Below are 21811 nucleotides of genomic sequence, written 5' to 3' on the forward strand. Positions count from 1 at the left end.
TGTGAGCAAATTTACTTAGTCCTCATTTCAAAATGTCAAGTGTAATAAAAAAGTTTGAGAAGAGGCAGGGTGTGGAGGTTCACTCCAGTAATCCCAGCACTTGGGGAGGCCAAGGCAGGTAGATCACTTGATCCCAGAAGTTTAAGACCAGCCTGGGCAATATGGCAAAAACCCATATCTACCAAAAAATGCAAAAATTGGCTGGGCATGGTGGTGCATACCTGTAGTCCCAGCTACTCGGGAGGCTGAGGTGAGAGGATAGCTTAAGCCTGGGAGTTTGAGGCTGCAGTGAGCTGTGTTTGTGCCACTGCACTCCAGCCTGGGCGACAGAGCAAGACCCTGCCTTGGAAAAAAAATGTTTAAGAAGGGTCAGTTGAATATTATTTTACTTCTCCTAAATCCAAGCATCTTCTTTATAAGTAGGTGTGAGTGTTTAACTCATTTCATCTTCTAGTTGCACATAAGCATTCACACATTGAGACATGTACCAACTCATTATAAATTACTTCCCCTTTTATTTCTTTTTTATATCCAAGTTAGGACAGTATATTGATTTCTATAAAATTATGTATGTAGGTGGATTATGTTACAGCTATGAATGTCATTTCAAAATAATAAAGAGGTCATTTCAAATATTTGTTATAAAACAGAGGCCTGGGTCTGACAGTGCTGCAGTGCCGAGAGGTAAAGCTTCCAGGTCTTTTTCCACATTCCTTACAGGCACTCTGATGACTAAAGCCAGGAATTCTGCGAATCCTATGTATTCTTTCCATCTACATAGTTTGTGATTGTTTTGTTTTGAGACAGGGTCTCACTCTGCTGTCCAGGCTGGAGTGCAGTGGTGCGATTACAGCTCACTGCAGCCTTAATTTCCTGGGCTCAAGTGATCCTCCTACCTCAGCCTCCTGAATAGCTGGGACCACAGGTGCATACCACCATGCTAGCTAATTTTTGTACTTTTTTTGTAGAGACAGGGTTTTGCCATATTGCCCAGAATGGTCTCGAACTCCTGGGCTCAAGCAATCAGCCCACCTCGGCCTCCCAAACTGCTGGGATTACAGGCATGTGCCTGGCCAGTGTTTGTTTCTTTTGTAGGTGATGAGATTGAGTAATGCAAACAAAGTAGCCACTTTCTGTCTCAGTGAATTTCTTGTGGCTTCAAATGGGCCTCAGAGGTAATGACCTTGTATTTATAGATGACACACACAGGCAGGAGGCTGCATTTTGGAAAATGGGATAAAAGTTCAAAGTGATCTCAATAGATAAAATGAAGAATTATTGAAAGAAAATAGAAACCAATCAGGGCAGATGAGGGTGTTACAGTTCAGAAGAAACTCCTAAAGGCAAGCACCATCCCTCCTACCTCCAAGGTTTGGGACAGGCTTTCTCAGGTGCCATGGGAGGTGCTCTGCTCTGTCCCTGCCATCCTCAATTACACATTTAGCATTGACACCCCACAGTGTTCAATAATATCAAATATGCATCATGATGATAAACCAACCTAAAAAGGGCAGAATAGAATCTATGAAGAGAGGGACAGATGTCACAATGGATGAGATGAGAGGCAGTTATTGCAATGGGCCCTAAATCCAGCTCCAGGGTTCCTGGCGTGCAATTGGAAGGCTGTGATTCTAGAAGCTGATATAATCCTGGGAGGCAGAGATAAGGGTGTGTGGTAGGAAGCATGAGCCCTTACTCAGTGGTACCTGGGGTGAAGAGTCTGAAGATGTACTTCAGATGAGACAAGAATAGTGGGGGAGAACAGGCCTTGACACCCAAGGAGGAAAATAAATGGTAATGGAAAGACCATATTTGTATTGGGTTCCACATAACCTTTTCCACATCTTATAGTATGAAGTAGATTCTGAAGTGCCCTAACAAGGCATGTAAGCATGTTGGCTTCATTGCTCACACCTAGGATGTTATGGTGGGCTCTCATGCTCAGTCACACTGCCCATAAGTAGACAACATGTTTTTAAACCTTTTGAAGTCTTGGACCCATTTGAGACTCTGATGATAGCTTTGATCCTTTTTCCTATAAAAATGCACATTTGCATCACAAACCAAATTTTGAACCCAGTTTCAGAGGATTTGCTGACTTCCTGAGGCCTGTCCATCTCCATGTCACATTGAGGACCCTTAGTTTCTGTTAAACAATCACACTTTAGGCTCTAGAACAGGAGATAGAAAACATTTTCTCTAAAGGGCCAGAGGGTAAATATTTTAGGTTTTGCAGTCCAAACACAGACCGTAGTTTGCTGATCTCTATTCTAGAAGAAAAGAGAATAGAAAATTTGATTTCAGAAATGAGGATTTTAAGTGACTCTAAGATATAAATATGTTCCAATATTGAACTACCAGTATTTGCAGGAAAGAACAAACTTGGACCCCAAGTTGCTGACAGTTTTGCAGCTGCTATTTTATCCAAACACGAGAAGGAAATTCTCATCTCATGAAACCAGAGAAATCCCTGCAGACATGGGAGTGAGAATGCCAGCTCTGAAGAACAGTTACATTTTTTAGTTTAAATTCTTTGTTTTTATGGATGACTCAATGCCGGTTCCCAAACATGCCACCAAACTGGGTGACCTTGAATTTGTGGTAAAGATAAGTGAAAGACAGCCCCAAACGAAATATGTTCCAGGATACTGAATTTTCAAGTACCTAATAGGGAAGCTAAAATGAAAGTAAGTAAGTAAGGTGGATAAGGCCAGCTGAACAAATGGATGTGAAAGAACATTGTCTGGGCTTATGTCGTATTACAAAGATACCACGCAGACAGATTTCTTTATGAAGTACAGAAAGGCATGAAATAACGAGATTTTTGTCTCTGAAGTAGATCTCTGTGGGTTAAATGGCAGGACAGGTGAGCAGAGGAACCAGGTGAGCAGGTGAGCAGAGGTGTGTGCAGCGAGGCAGTTCCTGCAGATAGCCTGGGAAGAAGTACCATCCAAAAAGAAGCCAGAGCTAAAGTGGGCGGAAGTAAATCTTGAATGAGCACTGGGATTGGGGAAATCCAATCTAAAGAGGAGAACCAGGCTGTGAAGTTGTTCCAGACCCAATCAAACCTCAGTGAGACGAGAGTTCAAGAACGGCGTCCACGCTGTTGAGGTTGCCGCTGCAAAGGCGCCCGACCCCAGCGGAGGAGTGCGCCATCTAGTGGTTATAGAGGGAGGAAAGAGAGGGACAGGAACTAAAATTCTCAAGGGGGCAGTGAGCTGCTCACTCATTGTTAAAAGGATGCTAAAAAGCAATGTGTATAATTACATCTACAGTTAGTTCTTCTATCAGGTGACATACATTCCTTTTTACAAGTCATTACACTATGCAAAATCACACAATAAAAACCACAAGGCTCATGGGAAAAATAGAGCTAGGGTGTTTCACACTTGAAAACTTAACAGTGGCCTATAAAGAAAGGATTGGGCCAGGCGCTGTGGCTCACGCCTGTAATCCCAGCACTTTGGGAGGCTGAGGCAGGTGGATCACCTGAGGTCAGGAGTTCGAGACCAGTCTGGACAACACGGTGAAACCTATCTCTATTAAAAATTCAAAAATTAGCTGTGTGTGGTGGTGGGTGCCTGTAATTCCAGCTACTTGGGAGGCTGAAGCAGGAGAAACCCTTGAGCCCAGGAGGCAAAGGTTGTAGTGAGCCAAAATCATGCCACTGCACTCCAGCCTGGGCGACAAGAGCAAGACTCCGTCTAAAACAAAAAAAAAAAAGAAAAAGAAAAAAAAAGGATTGGAGCCCCCTTAAGGTAGCACAGTTTTAGCCAAGTTAAATTCTTAAAAATACATAATACAGCACTTGACTTTGAAAATGACCTGCAGTTTGCTTGTGGAAGTGGACATCCGAAAGATTGCAGCTTGTGAGTTATTTTATTTTTATTTTTTGAGATGAAGTCTCAATCTGTCACCCAGGCTGGAATGCAATCCAGCTCACTGCAGCCTCCACTTCCCAGGCTCATGTGATTCTCCTGCCTCAGCCTCCTGAGTAGCTGGGATTACAGGTGTGCACCACCATGCCTGGCTAATTTTTGTATTTTTAGTAGAGATAGCCTTTCACCATGTTGCACAGGCTGGTCTCGATCTTCTGACCTCAGGTGATCCACCTGCCTCAGCCTTCAGAATTGCTAGGATTACAGGCCTGAGCCACCGCACTCCGCCAGTGAGTTATTGTGAATGGGGGAAGAAGGGTTGTTTGATATCAGAGGGGAAGTTACAGCAACAGATGTGGGTGCATGTGGCTCAAATCACACATGGAGAATGAGGTAGCTGACTAATATTGGAGGTGTATTTTGTGTATTCTTTTGTGTTTTGGCACAGCTGGGTGCAGTTTTCTGCCTTTACATGCAAGAAATTGCACATAAGCAAATGTGAAATTCACATTCTTGAATATGTTAATATTATTCTCCAGCATATCAATAGTCTTCCCTAACACATTAATATTGTTCCCTAATACATCAATCACGTTAGAAACAAATTTACATTCCAAAACAAGCATTATAGCAGCACTGACTACACTCTAATTCAAGGATTACAGTTCAAATTAAGAGTAGAAAAGATGCAGGTTCTATATAAGATTCTACCCCCTGCACCTGCAAGGCTGAGTATGGAGAACCCGTGGGACTGTCTTGAAAATCAGCCCTGGGAATGAGTGCAGACTCAGAACCTAACGAGCTCAGGGACTTGGGCAGAGTGTGTCACCTTTCACACTCTCAGTGTTCTCATGTTTCATTGAAAGACTTAACAAGATTAGTAGCTCTCAGCCTTGGCTACACACTAGAATCACCTGGGAAGTCTTCAGACCCAGGAAGCCCAGACTGACCACAGATGCATTAAATGAGCCTCTTTGGGATTGGCGGTGGTTGGTGGTGATGGTGGTGGCGGTGGGGGTTGTGGTGTTGGTGGGGGGGTGGTGGTGTGCTCTCTCAGGAATCTGTATCCTTAGCCATTGTGTGAATTTTATACACACTCAAATTTGAGAATCACTGATGGAAACCAATGGTTCTCAAACTTGGCTACACACCGGAATCACCAGGAGACTTTAAAAAATTACAAATTTAGTTGGTGTGGAGTGTGGCTTGGGCATCCAGGGTTGTTCAGAGTCTTCAGGTGACTCCACCAGCAGAGAGTCTGATCACCTGGTCTTCTGGCTGCAACCCTGACTGCAGCTTAGAACCATGTGGGCTGCTTAAAAACAGTACTGACTCAAAAAATGAAACACAGAACTAACTGTCGCATGACCCAGCAATTCCACTTCTGGGTGTACACCCAAAAGAACTGGAAGCAGAAGCTCAACAGATATTTGCACACCAATATTCATAGCAGTATCACTCACAATAGTCAAAGGGTGGAAACAACCCAAATATCCACCAATGAATGAATAAATGAACAAAATTTGTTGTCTATATAATGGGATATTTTTCGGCCTTAAAAAGGAATGGAATTCTGACACACGGTACAAGACGGATGAACTTTGAAGACATTATGCTGAGTAAAATAAGCCAGTCACAAAAGAACAAATATTGCATGAATCCACTTACAAGATATCTAGAATAGATAAATTCAGAGATAGGAAGCAGAGCAGAAGTTACCAGGGGCTGGGAGGGGAGGATGGGGAGTTAGCGTTTAATGGGCAGAGTTTCAGTCTGGGATGATGAAAACATTCTGGAGACAAACAGTAGTGAATGTACTTAATGTCACTGAACTGTCTGCCTAAAAATTATTAAAATGGACATTTTTTATAAAATGAAAATTATATGTCTATTTTACCACAATTAAAAAAATTAAATTAAACCCCCAAAACCCACTACAAATACCCAAACTGGACTTCTCAATATTCCAGTTCCACAGGCCTCTGAGGCCTGGAAAGTGCATTTTATAGCCATATCCCAGTTACTCTGAAGCTAGTGGTCTCAGGCCATGCTCTGAGAAGTGTTGGTCTAATGGATCCCCTCCAACTCAGAAACCAAGTGATTCTCTTAGAGGAAGAAGGGCTGGTAAGAAAATCTGAGGGCTGTTGAGTATTGGGTTTTTATTATTAAGGCTGATTTAACTTGTATCTAGGGCTTTGAGGGGGAAAAACAGAAACAGAACAATCAATGCAGGCTTCAATACTCCTGCCAAGCACTGTTAATTAAGTTAATGAGGCCAGAGGGAGAAGGGTCAGTATCCCTTTCATTTGAGCTGAATTCATTTAGCTTTAATCCCAGCCATTAGCTGGGTTGGTTCCCTTTCTTGACTTCATTGCCTGGACAGCAGAGCTGCTCACTTATGCTTGGGGAGTTATGGGCCATGGTGTCTCTGCAGCAAACACACAGCTTGCATTTCAGGGGTGCCTCTGTTCCTGGGGCACCACAGCATGCGGATGCCTCCAGCTGAGCCAGGGCTGCTCCTGTGTCAAGTTAATGCTTGATCCCTAATAGATAATTCCAGTCACAGGCTCGCTGGCAGGCCTGGGGTTCTGAGCAGGGCTTGGGCTGGCTGTGGTCAGGTGGAAGCTATAGAGGGAATGCTTCTCCTGGCAGGTGCTGGGCCCAAACCTGGAGGGCCATTGGAACAGCAAGCATGGAGGACTCACTGAGAAAAACACTAATGCATTTCCAAATGGGTGTCTGAGAGAGTTTCTCCAAATTCACACAGGTATAAAATTCCTGGACCAATTCCAAAAGTAGGTACAGCATGTGGGTTTAGCCTTGGATAAAGGCTCGAGGGCAGTGAACAAAGTGAACTCTTCCAGGACAAATACATTCTCTAGCTGCATAATACAGCATCCCACCGGAACCATGCCCAACAAATGGGCATTGTCAAGTCCAAAACATTGCTAGGGCCACAGTCCCTCCAGCCCAGCATTCTGCCTCTGACAACAGTTCCAATAAAACAGACGGGGAATTGCACTGCCATTAACCTCAGCACTTGCTCCCCAGGTGCAATTCTAACTCCCTTCATAAACCACCATGACTTGAAAGCTCTGCTGGAGTGATCGCTTTTTCATTCATCACTACCTCTTCTTGCACTGTATCTGGAATTTTTGTTTGTCCTAGAGTTACTCGTCCTAGGCCTGGGCTCCCACTATATGCCCGTCTCTCCTCAACAGGAGTCCCTGCTGGAGCTCTGCAGACTCCAGAGCAGTGGTGCCCACAGTGCAGTCCGGGAACAAGCAGCAGCAGCAGCACCTGGGCTTAGCGAGCAATGCAAATTACTGGGCCTTACCCCAGCCCCGCTGAATCAGAAGCTCTGGGGCTGGGACCTGGCAGTGTTTTTAATGCATCTGGGTCATTCTGATGCATACCCATGTCTGAGAACCATGAGGCTAGAGTCTGGAGGGAGGACAGAAATAGACGCAAATCCCTATAATACCATATGGGGGGTTACCCTCGCCCGTATGCTCCTCCCCACACAGCTGGGAGCTCCCTCCCTTCCCTCATCCTCCCAGTCTTTTGTAGGTACTATTACTGGGTACCATTACTGTAGGTACCATTTTACGGATGAGGAAACTGAAGCCCGGAGATGTTAAGTAACTTAAGGCCACGCAGCTGTCTACTGCATGTTAGCCTCTAAGCCTAGCATCTCTGGGCATGGCTGCATGTGTTGTTCAGGACCGGACCACGGTCCTGCTCCAGCCCATCTCTCAGTCATCATCTGCTGATCTGTGGTCACTTCCCCTCAATCACAAAGGGCCTTGGCCCTGGGTCCCAGTGGCAGGTTAGCCTCTCAGCCTCTCCTCCCCTTCTACCTTCGTCGTCATCTGGAGGTCCACCTTACCCCCAGAGTCGTTTATTCCTGACAATGGAACAATGTGGGAGTGAGGCAGTAGAATAGGGTCTGGAGGCAGGGAACCTAAGTCTGTTTCACACCGACTTCCCAGAACTAAATTGAAAGGAAAATCCTAACTTTCCATGCATAAGTAACAAAAGGACCAGACGCTACTCCCTTTGTCCTTTTCTGTGTGGCAGATGGGAAATTGGCTGTCCGCAACCAATCAGACTGACTGCAGGTGAGTCTTCATTTGCAACTTTGTAAGTTCACTCCAGCCTCTGAATGACTGCTGTCCACAACCCATCAGACTGATGGCCTGTCGAGTCTTCATTTGCATAGGAATATAACTGTAGCTTCTTCCTAGCCTCCGATTGGTTGCTTTTTGCTTTGCTGGGTATTTTGTCCAATTCTTTGTTCAAAACGCCAAGAACCTGGACAACTTGCAGTCAAGACCCTCTGCCAGTGACAGGAGGGCCTTCTCTCCGACCTTCCTCACAACCGCCCTCTCCAGCTGTTGCGCGCGCTCACTTCTCTGCACCATTCCCTGAAGGCCTTGAAAGTGCCCTTGAACTGTCCTTGCCTTTCATGGTGTCAGCCTCTTCATGCCTCCCCACCATTCCAGGCACTCCGGGCTTTCTCTTCAAACCCTCTTTCGACACCTCCAAGTGCTGAGCCTCCTTGCTTTTCTAGCCCATCTGCCAGCCTCCTGCACGTCTACACCTGACGGCTGGGCTCCTGTCGCAGAAACCATGCGCCAGGCACATTGGGGCCCACATAAATGTGCAGTGTCCGATACGCCATGTGGTCAGCACGACTTCTCCACGTCTCCTCTTTCTCTTCTTCCTGCAGAGTGAGCCCACCGGTTCACCACGTTGCTCTTGCCCCTAGCCCACCAGGCCCTGGCCCTCAGCAGCGGACCTGCCGCGGTTTCTGGACTAGGAAGGCCCTGCTCCCGACCGACCCGGAGCGCGCTGCTGCCCTCTACCGGTCATCCGTGCGGCCGGACACCGTGTCAGGCCCGCGAGGAGGGCTCTGCCGCAGTCCCGGGGAACAGCACCCAGCAGCGCCACTGGGAGAGGAAACTGGGGTCAGGGAGGTGTGACTGGGCCCCAGGCAGTCACACTCAGGCCAACAAGGTCAGGGAGGGAGGGCAGCTCACTCGTGCAAACGTGAGTGCAAAATGCACTCCACGGCCAGGAACAGGCAGTCCGTTCATGCGGGCAAAATGGAAAGCGAGCTCCTACCCAGGTTTCTCCTCAGAGCCATCACACGCCTGAGCAGCAACAGTCATTAGCATCAGGGATTAACACAGCGGGCTAAACGTCTGACAACTAACTACTGTTCTCTAAAGAGGACTCAGAGAATCAGCACACGAGGTTTCTGTGCACTGCAGAACGGTTGATTTATTTACTGATGCCCGGTGGTCTCATTAGGGTCTGTTTGCCTCTCTAGGTCTTTATGATTCCATAATACAAAGCACGTCTATTAAGTGTAGCCTAAATTTCCCTTTTATGTGCACTTTTATGTGCAGTCTTTATTCCATTAGCAATGGGTGGGGGCTGGGGCGTACCCTGAGAGACTATCAAATGCCCTGCCAAATTCCTAGAGTTGCTAGAAAAGGGTAACCCTGTCAGGATGGAAACAAGCTGAGTTCTCTGTGACTGGCCATTCAGAAACACAAGCTGACATACAGGGATCCCCGCACCGTTCCACAGAGCTGCAGACCACCTACTAAACCTCTTCTAGAAATTTGTCCACAGTTGTTGTCAAGCTCGCTGGTTTGTGGTTTAAAAGCCCACCTGTGTCCCTTTTTGTGAATCAGAATTTTGTTCCAGAGGCCAGGTATTGTTTGGTTCTCTTTGACTCACTGTGTTGCCAGCACCTAGAATGTATTATGTTGGCAAATATCTGCTGAATGAATGAATTTGCTCACATCCTGCCTGGTGCCTCCCTCCCTCTTCGTGGCCCTGCAGAAAAGGCTGCCAGGTGCAGAGGGCTCCTCTGCCAGTTCTCTGGGTTCCTTGGATGGGCCGGTCTGAGAAGGACTTGGGCAGATTCAGAACAGCCCCACGTCACTTGCTTGCTTCTTTCTCTCCTACCTGGGCCATCACTTCTCTCCTGCCAGGGAGTGGTTATCTGCTAGTATTATACCATTGCACCATCTGCTTCTGAGAGTGAGCTTGTTGCTTCCTTCTTCCTTATCTGAACAGAGCTTGAAAAATCATTTTGCATCTTTGTAGCATTTCCCCCAAATTCAGAGCATTTAGGGCTATAGCCATTCTGAGACCTTTCTCACTGGTCAGACACTGCCTGATATTCATCTTTGCTCATGGATCCTTATTTCTGTCTTTAGTGTATATATCCTTAAAATCTAACCAGGAGGGTGAGGTCATTCTGGTTTCCTTAATTCCCAGCTGGAAGAAGCTTTAAGCAGGGCATCAATGCTGTTGGTGGCCAGTTCTGTGAATTTCACGTCAGGATGCCTCCAGCATCCATTCCCCTTCTTCCAATTCTGCAGCCACTGCTTGGCTGCAAGGCTCCACTGCCTCCCCTCTAGATATGGGAGACACCACCTTGCTAGTCTCCCATAGTAAGCCTGACCCTGACACACACACCCCTCACTTACTATCTGAGGGGGCTTCCTAGGGCATGACTCTGATTAGAAGTCTTCACTGACTCCTCATGCTCATATCACTCAAACTCTTCAGGATGACCTCAGGGTCCCCACCACAGACTCTAAGTGAATTCTGGAATGGTTGACTAGAGAGGCCCTCAGGGCTTGAACCCTTTCATTTCACAGAGCAGGAAACTCCAGCCACCCTGCCTTCCTGGCTGTATCTACACTGGCATCCCATCACTGCCTTGTGCTCGAGATCTAACTTGCCATTCTCAGAGTCTGCCCTCATCCCCATTCTCTCAGCTTAGGCTGGTCCTGGGGCTTGGAATGCTCGTGAATGTCTCATCTGCTCATCCCATTCCAACTCCCCCGTCAAAGGCCACCTCAGAAGCCACCTCTGCCATGAGAATTCTACATGCACTTCTCACACTTCTATGTGCACTAGTTTGTTTTTGTTTTTTTGTTTTGCGGCAAGATCTCGCTCTGTTACCCAGGCTAGAGTGCAGTGGTGCAATCAGGGCTTACTGCAGCCACAATCTCCTGGGCTCAAGTGATGCTCCCATCTCAGCTTCCCAAGTAGTTGGGACTACAGGCTTGTACCACCATGCCCAGCTAATTTTTGTTGTTGTTGTTGTTGTTTTTGTTTTGTAGAGACAGGGTTCCACCATGTTGCCCAGACTGGTCTCGAACTCCTGGGATCCAGCGATCCACCTGCCTCGGCCTCCCAAAGTGTTGGGATTCCAGGCATGAGCCACCATGCCTGGCCTATATGCACTCTTTATCTCCGTCCCCTGGTATTCTGGGTACATTTCCATCATGGCATTTTTATTATATTATGCCTTCTCCACTAGATTGTAAGTCTTGAGGGGCAGGCACTCAGTTTCATTCATGCAGGATCCCCCTGTAGTACCTGGCACAACTTAAGTACCCCAGCAATATTTTTCTCCATTAATATTTTGAAGACAGGACTGGGCATGGTGGCTCATGCCTGTAATCCCAGCACTTTGGGAGGCCAAGATGGGAGGACTGCTTGAGCCCAGGAGTTCTATACCACCCTGGGCCACATAGTGAGACCTTGTCTCTACAAAAAACAGAAAAATTAGCCAGGCATGCTGGTGTGCACCTGTAGTCTGAGCTATTTGGGAGGCTGAGGCAGGAGGATCATTAAGCCTAAGAGTTTGAGGCTGCAGTGAGCTATGATCACACTGCTTTATTTCAGCCTGGGCGACAGAGAGACCTTATATGTATGTATATTTGTACATATGTATATATATATGTACAAATATGCATATATTTATATACGTATCATACACACACAGACACAGACACACTATGACACATTTTTACCAGAAGCACTTACCTCGTTGTCCTAGCAGAAGGGACTTCTAGTATGTTCTTATTCTAGGGGCAGAGGGTCCCTGGTTGTTTAAAGACTTCAGTTCCTGAGACTATAGGAATCTCATCACAGTGATGGTAGTCAGTATTTTATTTTTTGGTGAATCAGGAGAAAGGACTTTTTGTTTTCCTAAGGGAAAATAGGAAAGCTAATTAAGAAGAAGAAACAAAAAATATTATGTAGATATTTTTCTATGCCATACAGCAGTTTTCTTGTGGAAGAATTGCAAACTTTCTGTGTATCTCTACTAAATGGAATTTTAATTGGAAAAGATCAAGACCATTTTGTAAATCAAGGCGGACAGAACACCAAGGTTGAAGTTGGGACCTTGAGAAATCTCTGGCCCAGCCTCTTGTTCAGAAGGTGGGTGTCTAAGCCATTCAGTTCCTCTGGGACCTAAAAATCTCTTTCATGACATTTCTGGGGTCATTTGGTTTCCAAAGACTCAAGCACAAGGATGAGGACAATTCCACTGTCCCTATTGTCCAGTGAGCAGAGAACTTCCAGACAAAATGGTCTTGCGGCTCTCTAGGGACAGATAGAACTAAGGTCACTATGAGAGTGAGACATTTCTAAGCGGTACATCTAGGTAAATTATGGCTGTGTTAGAAGACAGTGCACAGTTATTGGATTTCGGGTTTCGGGTGAACAATGTCCTGAAAGTTGAAGAGTTGGCTTATAGTGCTTTTCATTATTTGATAGATGATTAACTCAGAGAGGTTAAGCACTTGTCTAAGATCTCACATTTATTACACTGTGGAGCTCGGATTTGAATCCCGCTGCAAACTTAGTTGTCACTGTGACCTTTGAACAAAACAAAATTGAATATGCTGCAAAACATCCACAGAGCCTCAAAGCGAGCTCGGAACCTGAAACGGCCCGCCTGAGACCTCCTTGAAACGGTGATTCTGATTCATCAGGGCTGTGGCTGAAGGACCTGAGAGTCTGCATTTCTAACGGGCTCCCACGTGATGCTGCTGCTGGTCCACTGACCACACTGTTAGCGGTGAGAACCTAAGAGTCTGTAATTGCCTCCCTGCTCATTACCCCCATGCCCACGTGAGCTGCCTCGTTCTTCCAGGATAAGGCATGGCTAAGATGCTGCACGATTGGTTTTGAGAAGGGGCTATACTAATACATTCACTTCCCCTTCCTCCCCATTTTTCTCAGCGCTGAAGAGTGAAGCATCAGAGAGTACCTCAAAGAAGATTCATGTGAGGCTTTGAGGAGGAGGGGATGGATGGGTCATATCGCTTTACTAGGAGCTAAGGAAACGGGACAGCTTGGGTGCGACTTCTGATTTCAGGAGATGCGCTTTCCCTAGAGACCAGCAGAGGGCGCAAAAGGGGCAGGGACCGAGGGGGAGGAGCCCGCGGAGCCGCGGCCGGAGAGTCGAGCGGGGCGCGGGGAGCTGCAAGCGTCCCTGAGCTGAGCTCCGCTGGGAAGTTCCTATCGCTTGCGCAGTAGAGTGCATTTAGACATTTCAATGACAACTAAATTTGTAGCTGGATTCAAATCCTAGCTCCACAGTTTAGTAGGTGTGTGAGCTTGGGCGAGTGCTGAACCTCTCTAAGCATCAGTTTACTGCCTATAAAATCACAGCAATAAGTTTCTACCTCCCACCCCCGCCGCCCCTACCCCGGCAGCAACAGCCTGCTTCCGGCTTCCAGGGATCCTCCAGTGCCCAAACCAGAATATCCAGTTACCCATGCTTAATACTCCAACAGTTCTTGCTTGCTGAAGTAGGCAGCCATCATTTACGCAACTACACCTTACCAGAAACGCCTTCCCTTTAGAACACTGAAGGGGAAAGTTAGAGAGGGAAAGGAAATTTCTCAAGGCACTGGGGTGATTTTGTGTTTCTTTAGCATGAGTTACCGGAAAGCTTCCTGTGTTTTCTTTACTATCTTTAGGTGGTGGTTCCCAGCATCAAAAAACAGCAAAAACAGCAGCAAGCAAAGGCGCTGATACTCTGAAAAGTTATGTTGAAAACACATGGTTTAGGTACAGAATGGCTTCCCCGTTGTTTGCACATTATAACTCTTTAGCACACAATTTTAAAGCATCTGATTGAAAGAAATAATTTTTAGTGATTATTAAAAACGAACAACTAGCACAACATTTAAAATCGTCGGGAAAAGGTGGCTCGCCCAGAAAGTGAACATCCCTACCTGTCTCCAGGTTCGGACAGCGCCAACATTCTCAATTAGAAAATTAACATCTGAGGCTCCGACATCTTCCCTGGATGCTAAATCCTGTGTATTGATGGGCAAAGTCAATTGCCAGGAAAGCTGGGCAACTATAAGGTCAGGGGGCTGGAGCAGATGAGAGTAGGGAAGTCCAGTATAGCATCCCTGAAAGTAATGACACAGACAATCTGCTAAGCGCTGCAAAAATCATTTGGAGTGTGATGTAAATTGGAAACAGCTGGGGTGGGGGTGGTGACCGGCAACTAGGAACCCTATTAACCTGATCAGTTAGATACGAAATGGGAATGTGAAGAGAGAGTATCAAACACTTGAGAACTGTTCTGAGAGGGATGTGTAGTCTGTGCTGGGCTAGCAAAGGAATCAAGAGAAAGCTTCCCAGGCAGATAAAATCCAATGCACCCTGCAGCTGCTGGAGACACCCCCTGATGCAAGGTAAGCCCTGAAGAGGTTGAGAAGGAAAGGTGGGGGGCACTCAGGCCAGGATGAGGATGCCCTGAGAGGAAGATGATTTCACTGGTGTTGCCTGAGGGACTGTAAGCAGGGACAGGTGAGGCTGGGGAGCGCACCCCTGCTGGAAGCACAGGTCCCCACCCTGTGCCCAGTGTCCTGGGACCCGAAGGAGGTTTACTGCATGTGGAATCTGCCTGGGCAGGCTGCCCAGGGTGGCTATGCTCCATTCTGAGTCAGGGCAGGGAGTCAGCTAGTTGATTTGGCTCCAACTTGCTAGTGGTGGTTACTTTCGAGATACATGAGACCATGGCAAAAATGCTGGGCTGGGAGAGGATAAATATCGGTTCTAGTCCTCCTTCAGCCACAGTCTGGGTATCCTAGACAACTCTAACTTTCATTGTCCTCAGTTTCTGCATATGTATAACGGTGAGTTTGAAATGGAAGCATTTTTAAATCCTTGTTAACTCTGAAGTTATCTAAGGAAACTTGCTGAGTATCATCATGACAGCAATCATAGACCAGGGCCAATCCTCCCTGAAGCAGAACATTCCTTCTTCATTCTGGCAAATTTGCAAGGCTGTTACACCGGATCTTGAAGATACATAGTGGAAAATGATGTTATTAATGTACCGATGAAAAAAATGGAACCACATATATCCTAGCTTTAAATAGCAACTTTTTCCCCCCTCAAGAAATTACCCTCAGAGGAGCTTATGTCTGCGGCTAGATATTTTGAGATTTGACTTTTTTTTCCCCCTCTCCTTGTATTTCTGCTTTCCTAGGCTCACCTCCACCTCTGTAGCCAGCTCCCTAGTCATTGGTCCAGGGCAGGTATATGTCAGAACCCTACCAGGAATAGCCTGCAAGTTCTTCTGGCTTTGATTTTCCAAACAGGGCCTTAGGTTGGGGACACAAAGTCTTTGCCAAGTTGGGGGAAGAGGGGTGGGGTGTGCTGATGGGTAAAGCAGAGAGACATGCTTCTAGAAACAGGAAGACAGGAAGGGAAAAGGGGTCTGTCAGCACCAGGAAGACAGGACTCTGGCAGGACCCCAGTGAGTTAGCTATGTGGTCTGGAAGCAGTGAGGACTTGCTAGGCAAGACAGGCACAAGAGTGCCTTCAGTGGTAACCCGAGTGGACCAGATGGGGGAGCAGGAGATACCTGCACCCGAGCCCCTGGGATCTTGGCAATGCATAAGAGATCTGAAATTGTGACACAGTGACACAACCTGGGGTGATTTCTATGGTTGCTGGCCAGATGAGATGAAGGCTCTAAACTAATATTAATATCTAGAAAATAGAGGAGAGGCAGTATTTCTTGCACATCTGTGCATGCTAGAGATTCACACTCACTACCCTTTTGGTTCACAGGTTGGGAAATAAAAGAAAAGGTAGTCTTGAAGCTATCTGAACCCAGTTATATCTCTGACCAAGATGAGGAGGAATCTCAGACCCCAGAAACTCAGGACTAAAAGTGACTTCTGATTTTGCCTTTATCATGGTCTTCTGAGTTCAAATCCAGACAGTTTCCCTGACTGTAAAATGGGATGGTTATGAAGAGTAAATGAGATGGGACATATAGCTTATATTTTTTGGTCCCTTGCAATACTTTGCATGTGGCAGATTGCTTGTTGACTATCAAATTATTTATTGACTGTTTTTTAAATTTTTTTTTTTGAGACAGAGTCTCACTCTGTCACCCAGGCTAGAGTGCAGTGACATGATCATGGCACAACCTTGAACTCCCCCGGCTCAGGTGATCCTCCCACCTCAGCTTCCCAAGTAGCTGGGGCTACAGGCACATGCTACCATGCCCAGCTAATCTTTCTATTTTTTGTAGAAGTGGGTCTCGCCATGTTGCCCAGGCTGGTCTCGAACTCCTGGGATCAAGAGATGTGCCCGCCTCAGCATCCCAAAGTGCTGGAATTACAGGCGTGTGCCATTGTCCCTGGCCTTATTGACTATTAAAGCTAGTCCAACCCACAGTGAACCTGGGTCCAGAGAGATACCTGGTTTGGTGACTGTGGAGAAGCCACGTTGTCAGTAGCATCAGGAGTATGAATCTTGTAGTAGTGTCAGGAACATGAACATCAATCTATGGTAAAATACAAACTTACTTATCTTGAATTTAGCATAGTGGTTTAAGTACATGGACCCTGAAGACAAATATGCTAAGCTTGAATACTGGTTCACCACTTACCCCTCAAAGGTACTCACAATAGTCTGTAGCTCAGAGTAACTGCTATCTATGCATTTGCTATTATTGCTGCTTTTACTGTGTTATTAATTTGTGCACAGTAAAAGAGAAAATGCCTGACTAGCACTATTAGGAAGGAAAGTTGTTTGGAAGCATTTGAGGGAGTCTCATTACAGGCCAGTGAAGTGAGAACCAATGATTTCTGTGTTGCAACACCCTGTCACTGGATTTAGCAATACCATGACTTTGGCAATTCCCCAGAAGGAAAGTTCTATGGGGCACTTGCAGAGGACAGGAAAGGAGGAGAGGAAGGTTTAAATGAAATATAACCAAGTGAACAATATGAATATTTATCCATATTCCTTTAGCATAAATGAGCTCCTTCCCTAGTGTGGTCAAAGGGAGGCAGATCTCTCTTACCATAAAACAAACAGAAAGTCTTCTCTTGAGCAGACCCCTCCTTCCTTCTTTCTTTTATGGCCAAATTCCTCAGACAAAAAGTCTAAAAACCCCACCCAATGTTTCCATTGCCCAGTAACTCAGTAACTAGCCTCTCTTTAACCTCCTCAGGTCTGGCTTTTTAAATTTTTTTTTTTTTTTTTTTTTTTTTTGAGACCAGGTCTCACTGTATCACCCAGACTGGAGTGAAGTGGTGCGATCAGAGCTCACTGCAGCCTTGAACTCCGGGGTTCAAGTGATCATCCCACCTCAGCTTCTGGAGTAGCTGGGGCTATAGGCATGTGCCACCATGCCCAGATAATTTTTGTGTGTGGGGGTGGGGGTGGAGGGGTCTCACTATGTTGCCCAGACTGGTCTTGAACTATTGGTTTCAAACAATCCTCCTACCTTGGCCTCCCAAGGTATTACAGGCATGAACTACTGTACCCAGCCTCTTTCTTCTATGAATCTCCTTGTGGGTTTTGTTTTGTTTTGTTTTGTTTTGTTTAGCATTGGGCAGCTTTGGCCACCTATTTCTTCTTGAAATATCTCTTCCTTTGGCTTCCTTAGTTTTTTCCCTATCTTTCTATCATTCTATTTTCCAACAGATACTTTTCTTTTTCCCACCCCCATGGCTTCTAGGTTTCCCCAAGACCTTGTTCTCTGCTTCAGGCTTCTTCCATCAGTGACCACATTTGCTTTCACAAGTTAAACTGTTGCCACTATGCTCCCAAAATCTTTCTCTAGGCCTGACCTCACTTGTACTTAAAGTGTGTGTTTCAGTTGACTCTAGAACATTTCCTTTTTAACATCAGACTCAATATGTCTCAAAGTGACTTGATATTTTGAATTTTGAAAATCCTCCAGGAAACAAAAAAATTTTTGCGTAGTACTCAGAGACATATAAGTGGACTTCTCCCCAGGCCAGGGAATCCTACACCTGCAGCACACCATCTCCACCTGCCTCATAGGTTTGAAAAAACCTTGTCCCTTACTCTTTGATATGGTTTGGCTGTGTCCCCACCCAAATCTCATCTTGAATTGTAGCTCCCATAATCCCCACGTGTTGAGGGAGGAACCCAGTGGGAGGTAACTGAATCCTGGGGGCAGGTCTTCTGCGTGCTGTTCTTGTGATAAGGAATAAGTCTCACGAGATTTAATGGTTTTATAAATGGGAGTTCCCCTGCACATGCTCTCTTGGCTGCCGCCATGTAAGATGTGACTTTGCTCCCCCTTGCCTTCCACAATGATTGTGAGGCCTCCCCAACCATGTGGAACTGTGAGTCAATTAAACTTCTTTCCTTTATAAATTACTCAGACTCAGGTATATCTTTATTAGCAGTGTGATAACAGACTAATACACTCTCTTTATATAACTCATCACCAAATTCTAGTTTTCCCCTTCCAGATGTCTCTAGATTTGTCCTTCGTTTGATATTTTTATCACTCTGGTTCAGCCTACCATCCAATGCTTATTGGACACCATCTCCTAGGAACAATGTTAGCTGATGGGGGATACATCAAGGATTAACTCAATCACTGCCTTCAGGGAGCCATCCCAGCAGGGAGATGGCCAAGTAACCAGCAGCCATAAGAGGGTGTGATAAATGCTGTTAGAGGCTGTGCAGGGTGCTATGGAGCACAGAGGAGAATTTGAAAACCCAGCCTGAGGGGCCTCTGCACATAGGGGATTCAGATCTGGAGTATTAATGATCAGGAATTAGCTAGGGAGAGCAGTAGGCATTCCTGGCCAAGGCTGCCAAACAGCATGGACAAAGGAGAAGAGAGAGCCTAGGCCTGGGGAGCTACCTGGGGCTGCAGTGGCTCAGAAGGTAGATTTGTGGGCTCAAGGTGGGAGCTGGTGGAAGATGAGGCTAAAGAGGATATGCTGGGGGCAGATCAAGAAGACTCTAGAATTCTATAGTGAAGGCAATAGGGGGTGCTCTGAGTTTTGAGCACCACCACTGCATTACACTCAGACTCCTCAAGGCCTCTAGGAATTGGCTCCATCTAATTTATCCAATCTGAGACTCCTTGTAACACATAACCTGTGCCTTCTACTCCAAGTTGGTGGGGCACTTCACTGTTACCTATAAGGGCTTGAATTTCAATCAAGAATCATTTATCAAACGCCTCTTATGTGCCAGACACCAAATTCGGCTCAGGGGAGCCCTATGTAAGTGAGACACAGCTCTGCTTCAGTGAGTGAGTCAAAGATCCCTTAACTCCTATGGACAATACGGAGCTTCAACAGAGGTCTATGCAAGGACCAATGGAGAACAAAGGAGAAACCCTCCAACTCTGCTCAAACACTCGGGTAGGGGCCTGCCAGGGAAGTCTTCACTGGAGAAGGTGCCATTTGAGCTGCTTCTTAAAAAATGTAGGGGATTGGTCAGCAGAGCATTTTGAGCATAGGAGAGTAGGCATAAAGTAAAGGAGGCACACAAAAAACGCATGGTCAGGCTGGGTGTGGTGGCTCACGCCTGTAATCCTAGCACTTTGGGAGGCCAAGGCAGGTGGATCACCTGAGGTCAGGAGTTCGAGACCAGCCTGGCCAACATGGTGAAATCCCATCTCTGCTAAAAATACAAAAATTAGCTGAGCATGGTGGTACGTGACTGTAGTCTCAGCTACTTGGGAGGCTGAGGCAGGAGAATTACTTAAACCCAGGAGGCAGAGGTTGCAGTGAGCCAAGATCACACAAATGCACTCCAGCCTAGGTGACAGAGTGAGACTCTGTCTCAAAAAAAAAAAAAAAGGCATGGTTAGAATGCTATAAGAAGGGCATCATGGCTGGGTGAGGAAGAGAGTGGCAGGACCCACAGCCAGAATTCCCGGAAGGCAGGAATTTGAATTGGCTCTGGGCAGCAAGTGCCTTTCATTATTCTGAGCTTCATATATCCTCATGCTTCCTTTCCTAGGCCTGGCCAAGCCCTTGATGGTCATTCTTAAGTCAAGCTGAACACCAGCTGGCTCTGTGAAGCTCTCTCTTCCTTTCCCAGTCAGTCTGCACTAGCTGTCTTCTTTGAGCTAGCAGATGCTGCCACATACTTTCGCACTTAATTGCGCTCTAATTGTTTCACAGGTGCTGGTTTTGTCTTCCTACTTAGACCTAGGAGCTTTTGGACAGCAGGGACTATGCCTCAAACTTGGGTTTGTCCCAGAGAGCGGAAGACACTATACGCTGTTGCTCTCACATTAAGGGACCAAGGCTGGGAATCACTTAAGCTTCAGAAATCTGATTGAAGCTTTGGATCTGCCTTCTGCATTCTTTTCCACAATGTTAAGAGTGAAACAAACACATCTGGATGCAGTAACTGGACATTCCAGTGCTGTCTGCTGTTTAAGTCTGTTAGTATACAGAGACAAATAAACAGGAGAGTTTTGCTTTCAACACTCAGCAGAGCCAAACTTCCTGATGCACGGGAATGAACAACGGAGGCACTGTTCTGGAAACACCGTCCTCCAGAGAGGCGCTCCCTCCTCAGAAACAACACCGAAAACCTGGCATGGCTGGTTTTGCATTCAGACAATGGCACCTACATGCTTTTTGCTTTGCTCAGAGCTGTAAATATCCAAAGAGGTGATCCTCTGCCATCATTTTGGAAGGAAGAATCAGTCAGACTGATAATTAGGGTCATACGCACAGGCATGGTCATGCTGATTGTTGAAATTTAGATTATTTTTGGCCCAGCACAGTGGCTCACACCTGTAATGCCAGCACTGTGGGAGGCCAAGACAGGCGGATCACCTGAGGTCAGGAGTTTGAGATCAGCCCGACCAACATGGTGAAACCCCATTTCTACTAAAAATACAAAAATTAGACAGGCGTAGTGGTGGGTACCTGTAATCCCAGCTACTTGGGAGGCTGAGGCAAGAGAATCGCTTGAACCCTGGAGGCAGTGGTTGCAGTCAGCCGAGATTGTGTCACTGCAGTCCAGCCTGGGCGGCAGAGTGAGACTGTCTCAAAAAAAAAATTACATATATATATATATATATATATATATATATATATATATAGAGAGAGAGAGAGAGAGAGAGAGAGAGAGAGAGAAAGAGAGAGAGAGAGATTATTTTTGTACTGCTTAGTAATTAGCTTTAGCACGGTCTCTCCTCTGGGACCTCCCCTGGAATTTCCCCACAATCCAGTAACTGAATAATTAGCATCCAGCCCCACAGAACTTCTCCCAGGGCCCTGCTCCAGGGCTTCCCTTCTGACTGGCTGTGCATGGCACACTGGGAATTGTTTTCTGCCCACAAGAACAAGGGTGAACTGAGTCAAGGAGTCCAAGAGATCTTGGACGCACTTCTCAGAATTCGGAGGGGCTGGGTAAATGCAGGAGAAAATTGATGAAACCACATTGGCCCTGCAAGAGCCTGACTGCTCCTGCACGGTAGCTACCCCTAGCATTAGCGGGGAGTCACCAATGCCTCTTCCAGGCACTGAGCAAGAGGGCGGCATTACAGATGCACTTGCCGTCCAAACAGATCATCTCATTGACTAGGTGACTGCTCAGCAACAGTATCTGAAGGACACTAGGGTTACTCTGCTTGTTTGCAGTTCACGGTGCTGGACGGATGTGTTCCCAACACTAGGTAACAACACCGCTCTCCCTCCTCCGGGAGAAAGCCGCAGCCGTCGATTCCCACCCAACAGGGCCTCAGCGCCTTCCCAGGGCAGCACCCTCACTCCTGCAACCACCAATCACCCAAGCCACAGCATGGTCCCAGACCCACCCTCGCC

At 46.5% G+C, this 21811-nt stretch overlaps 1 protein-coding gene across 11 annotated transcripts in view, besides 2 other annotated features; it reads right to left on the reverse strand.

Moving 5' to 3' along the window:
- The window catches only part of TLR5 (toll like receptor 5), a 33845-nt gene that overhangs the window by 11333 nt on the left and 701 nt on the right, over positions 1-21811 (reverse strand). For 2 of the 11 annotated variants that reach the window (NM_001437539.1, XM_047429367.1), the window contains exons 2-5: positions 16442-16527; positions 13946-14128; positions 13653-13746; positions 11739-11903 (exon numbers count right to left, since the gene is read on the reverse strand). The gene's annotated coding sequence lies outside the window, so the exon portion shown is untranslated. Of the gene's footprint in view, positions 1-11738; positions 13747-13945; positions 14129-16441; positions 16528-20911; positions 21028-21811 lie in introns of all 11 variants that reach the window. The other 9 variants (NM_001437650.1, XM_011509937.3, NM_003268.6 and 6 more) reach the window with 9 other exon arrangements.
- Positions 8543-8672: an enhancer, noted in NCBI's record as "active region_2586". NCBI's record gives its function as "activates an Ori minimal core promoter by ATAC-STARR-seq in GM12878 lymphoblastoid cells {active_cell/tissue: GM12878}" and the evidence as "EXISTENCE:reporter gene assay evidence [ECO:0000049][PMID:35858748]".
- Positions 8813-9002: an enhancer, noted in NCBI's record as "active region_2587". NCBI's record gives its function as "activates an Ori minimal core promoter by ATAC-STARR-seq in GM12878 lymphoblastoid cells {active_cell/tissue: GM12878}" and the evidence as "EXISTENCE:reporter gene assay evidence [ECO:0000049][PMID:35858748]".

This window comes from Homo sapiens, chromosome 1 (genome assembly GCF_000001405.40).
Source record: "Homo sapiens chromosome 1, GRCh38.p14 Primary Assembly".
In the NCBI taxonomy this organism is placed as follows: domain Eukaryota; kingdom Metazoa; phylum Chordata; class Mammalia; order Primates; family Hominidae; genus Homo; species Homo sapiens.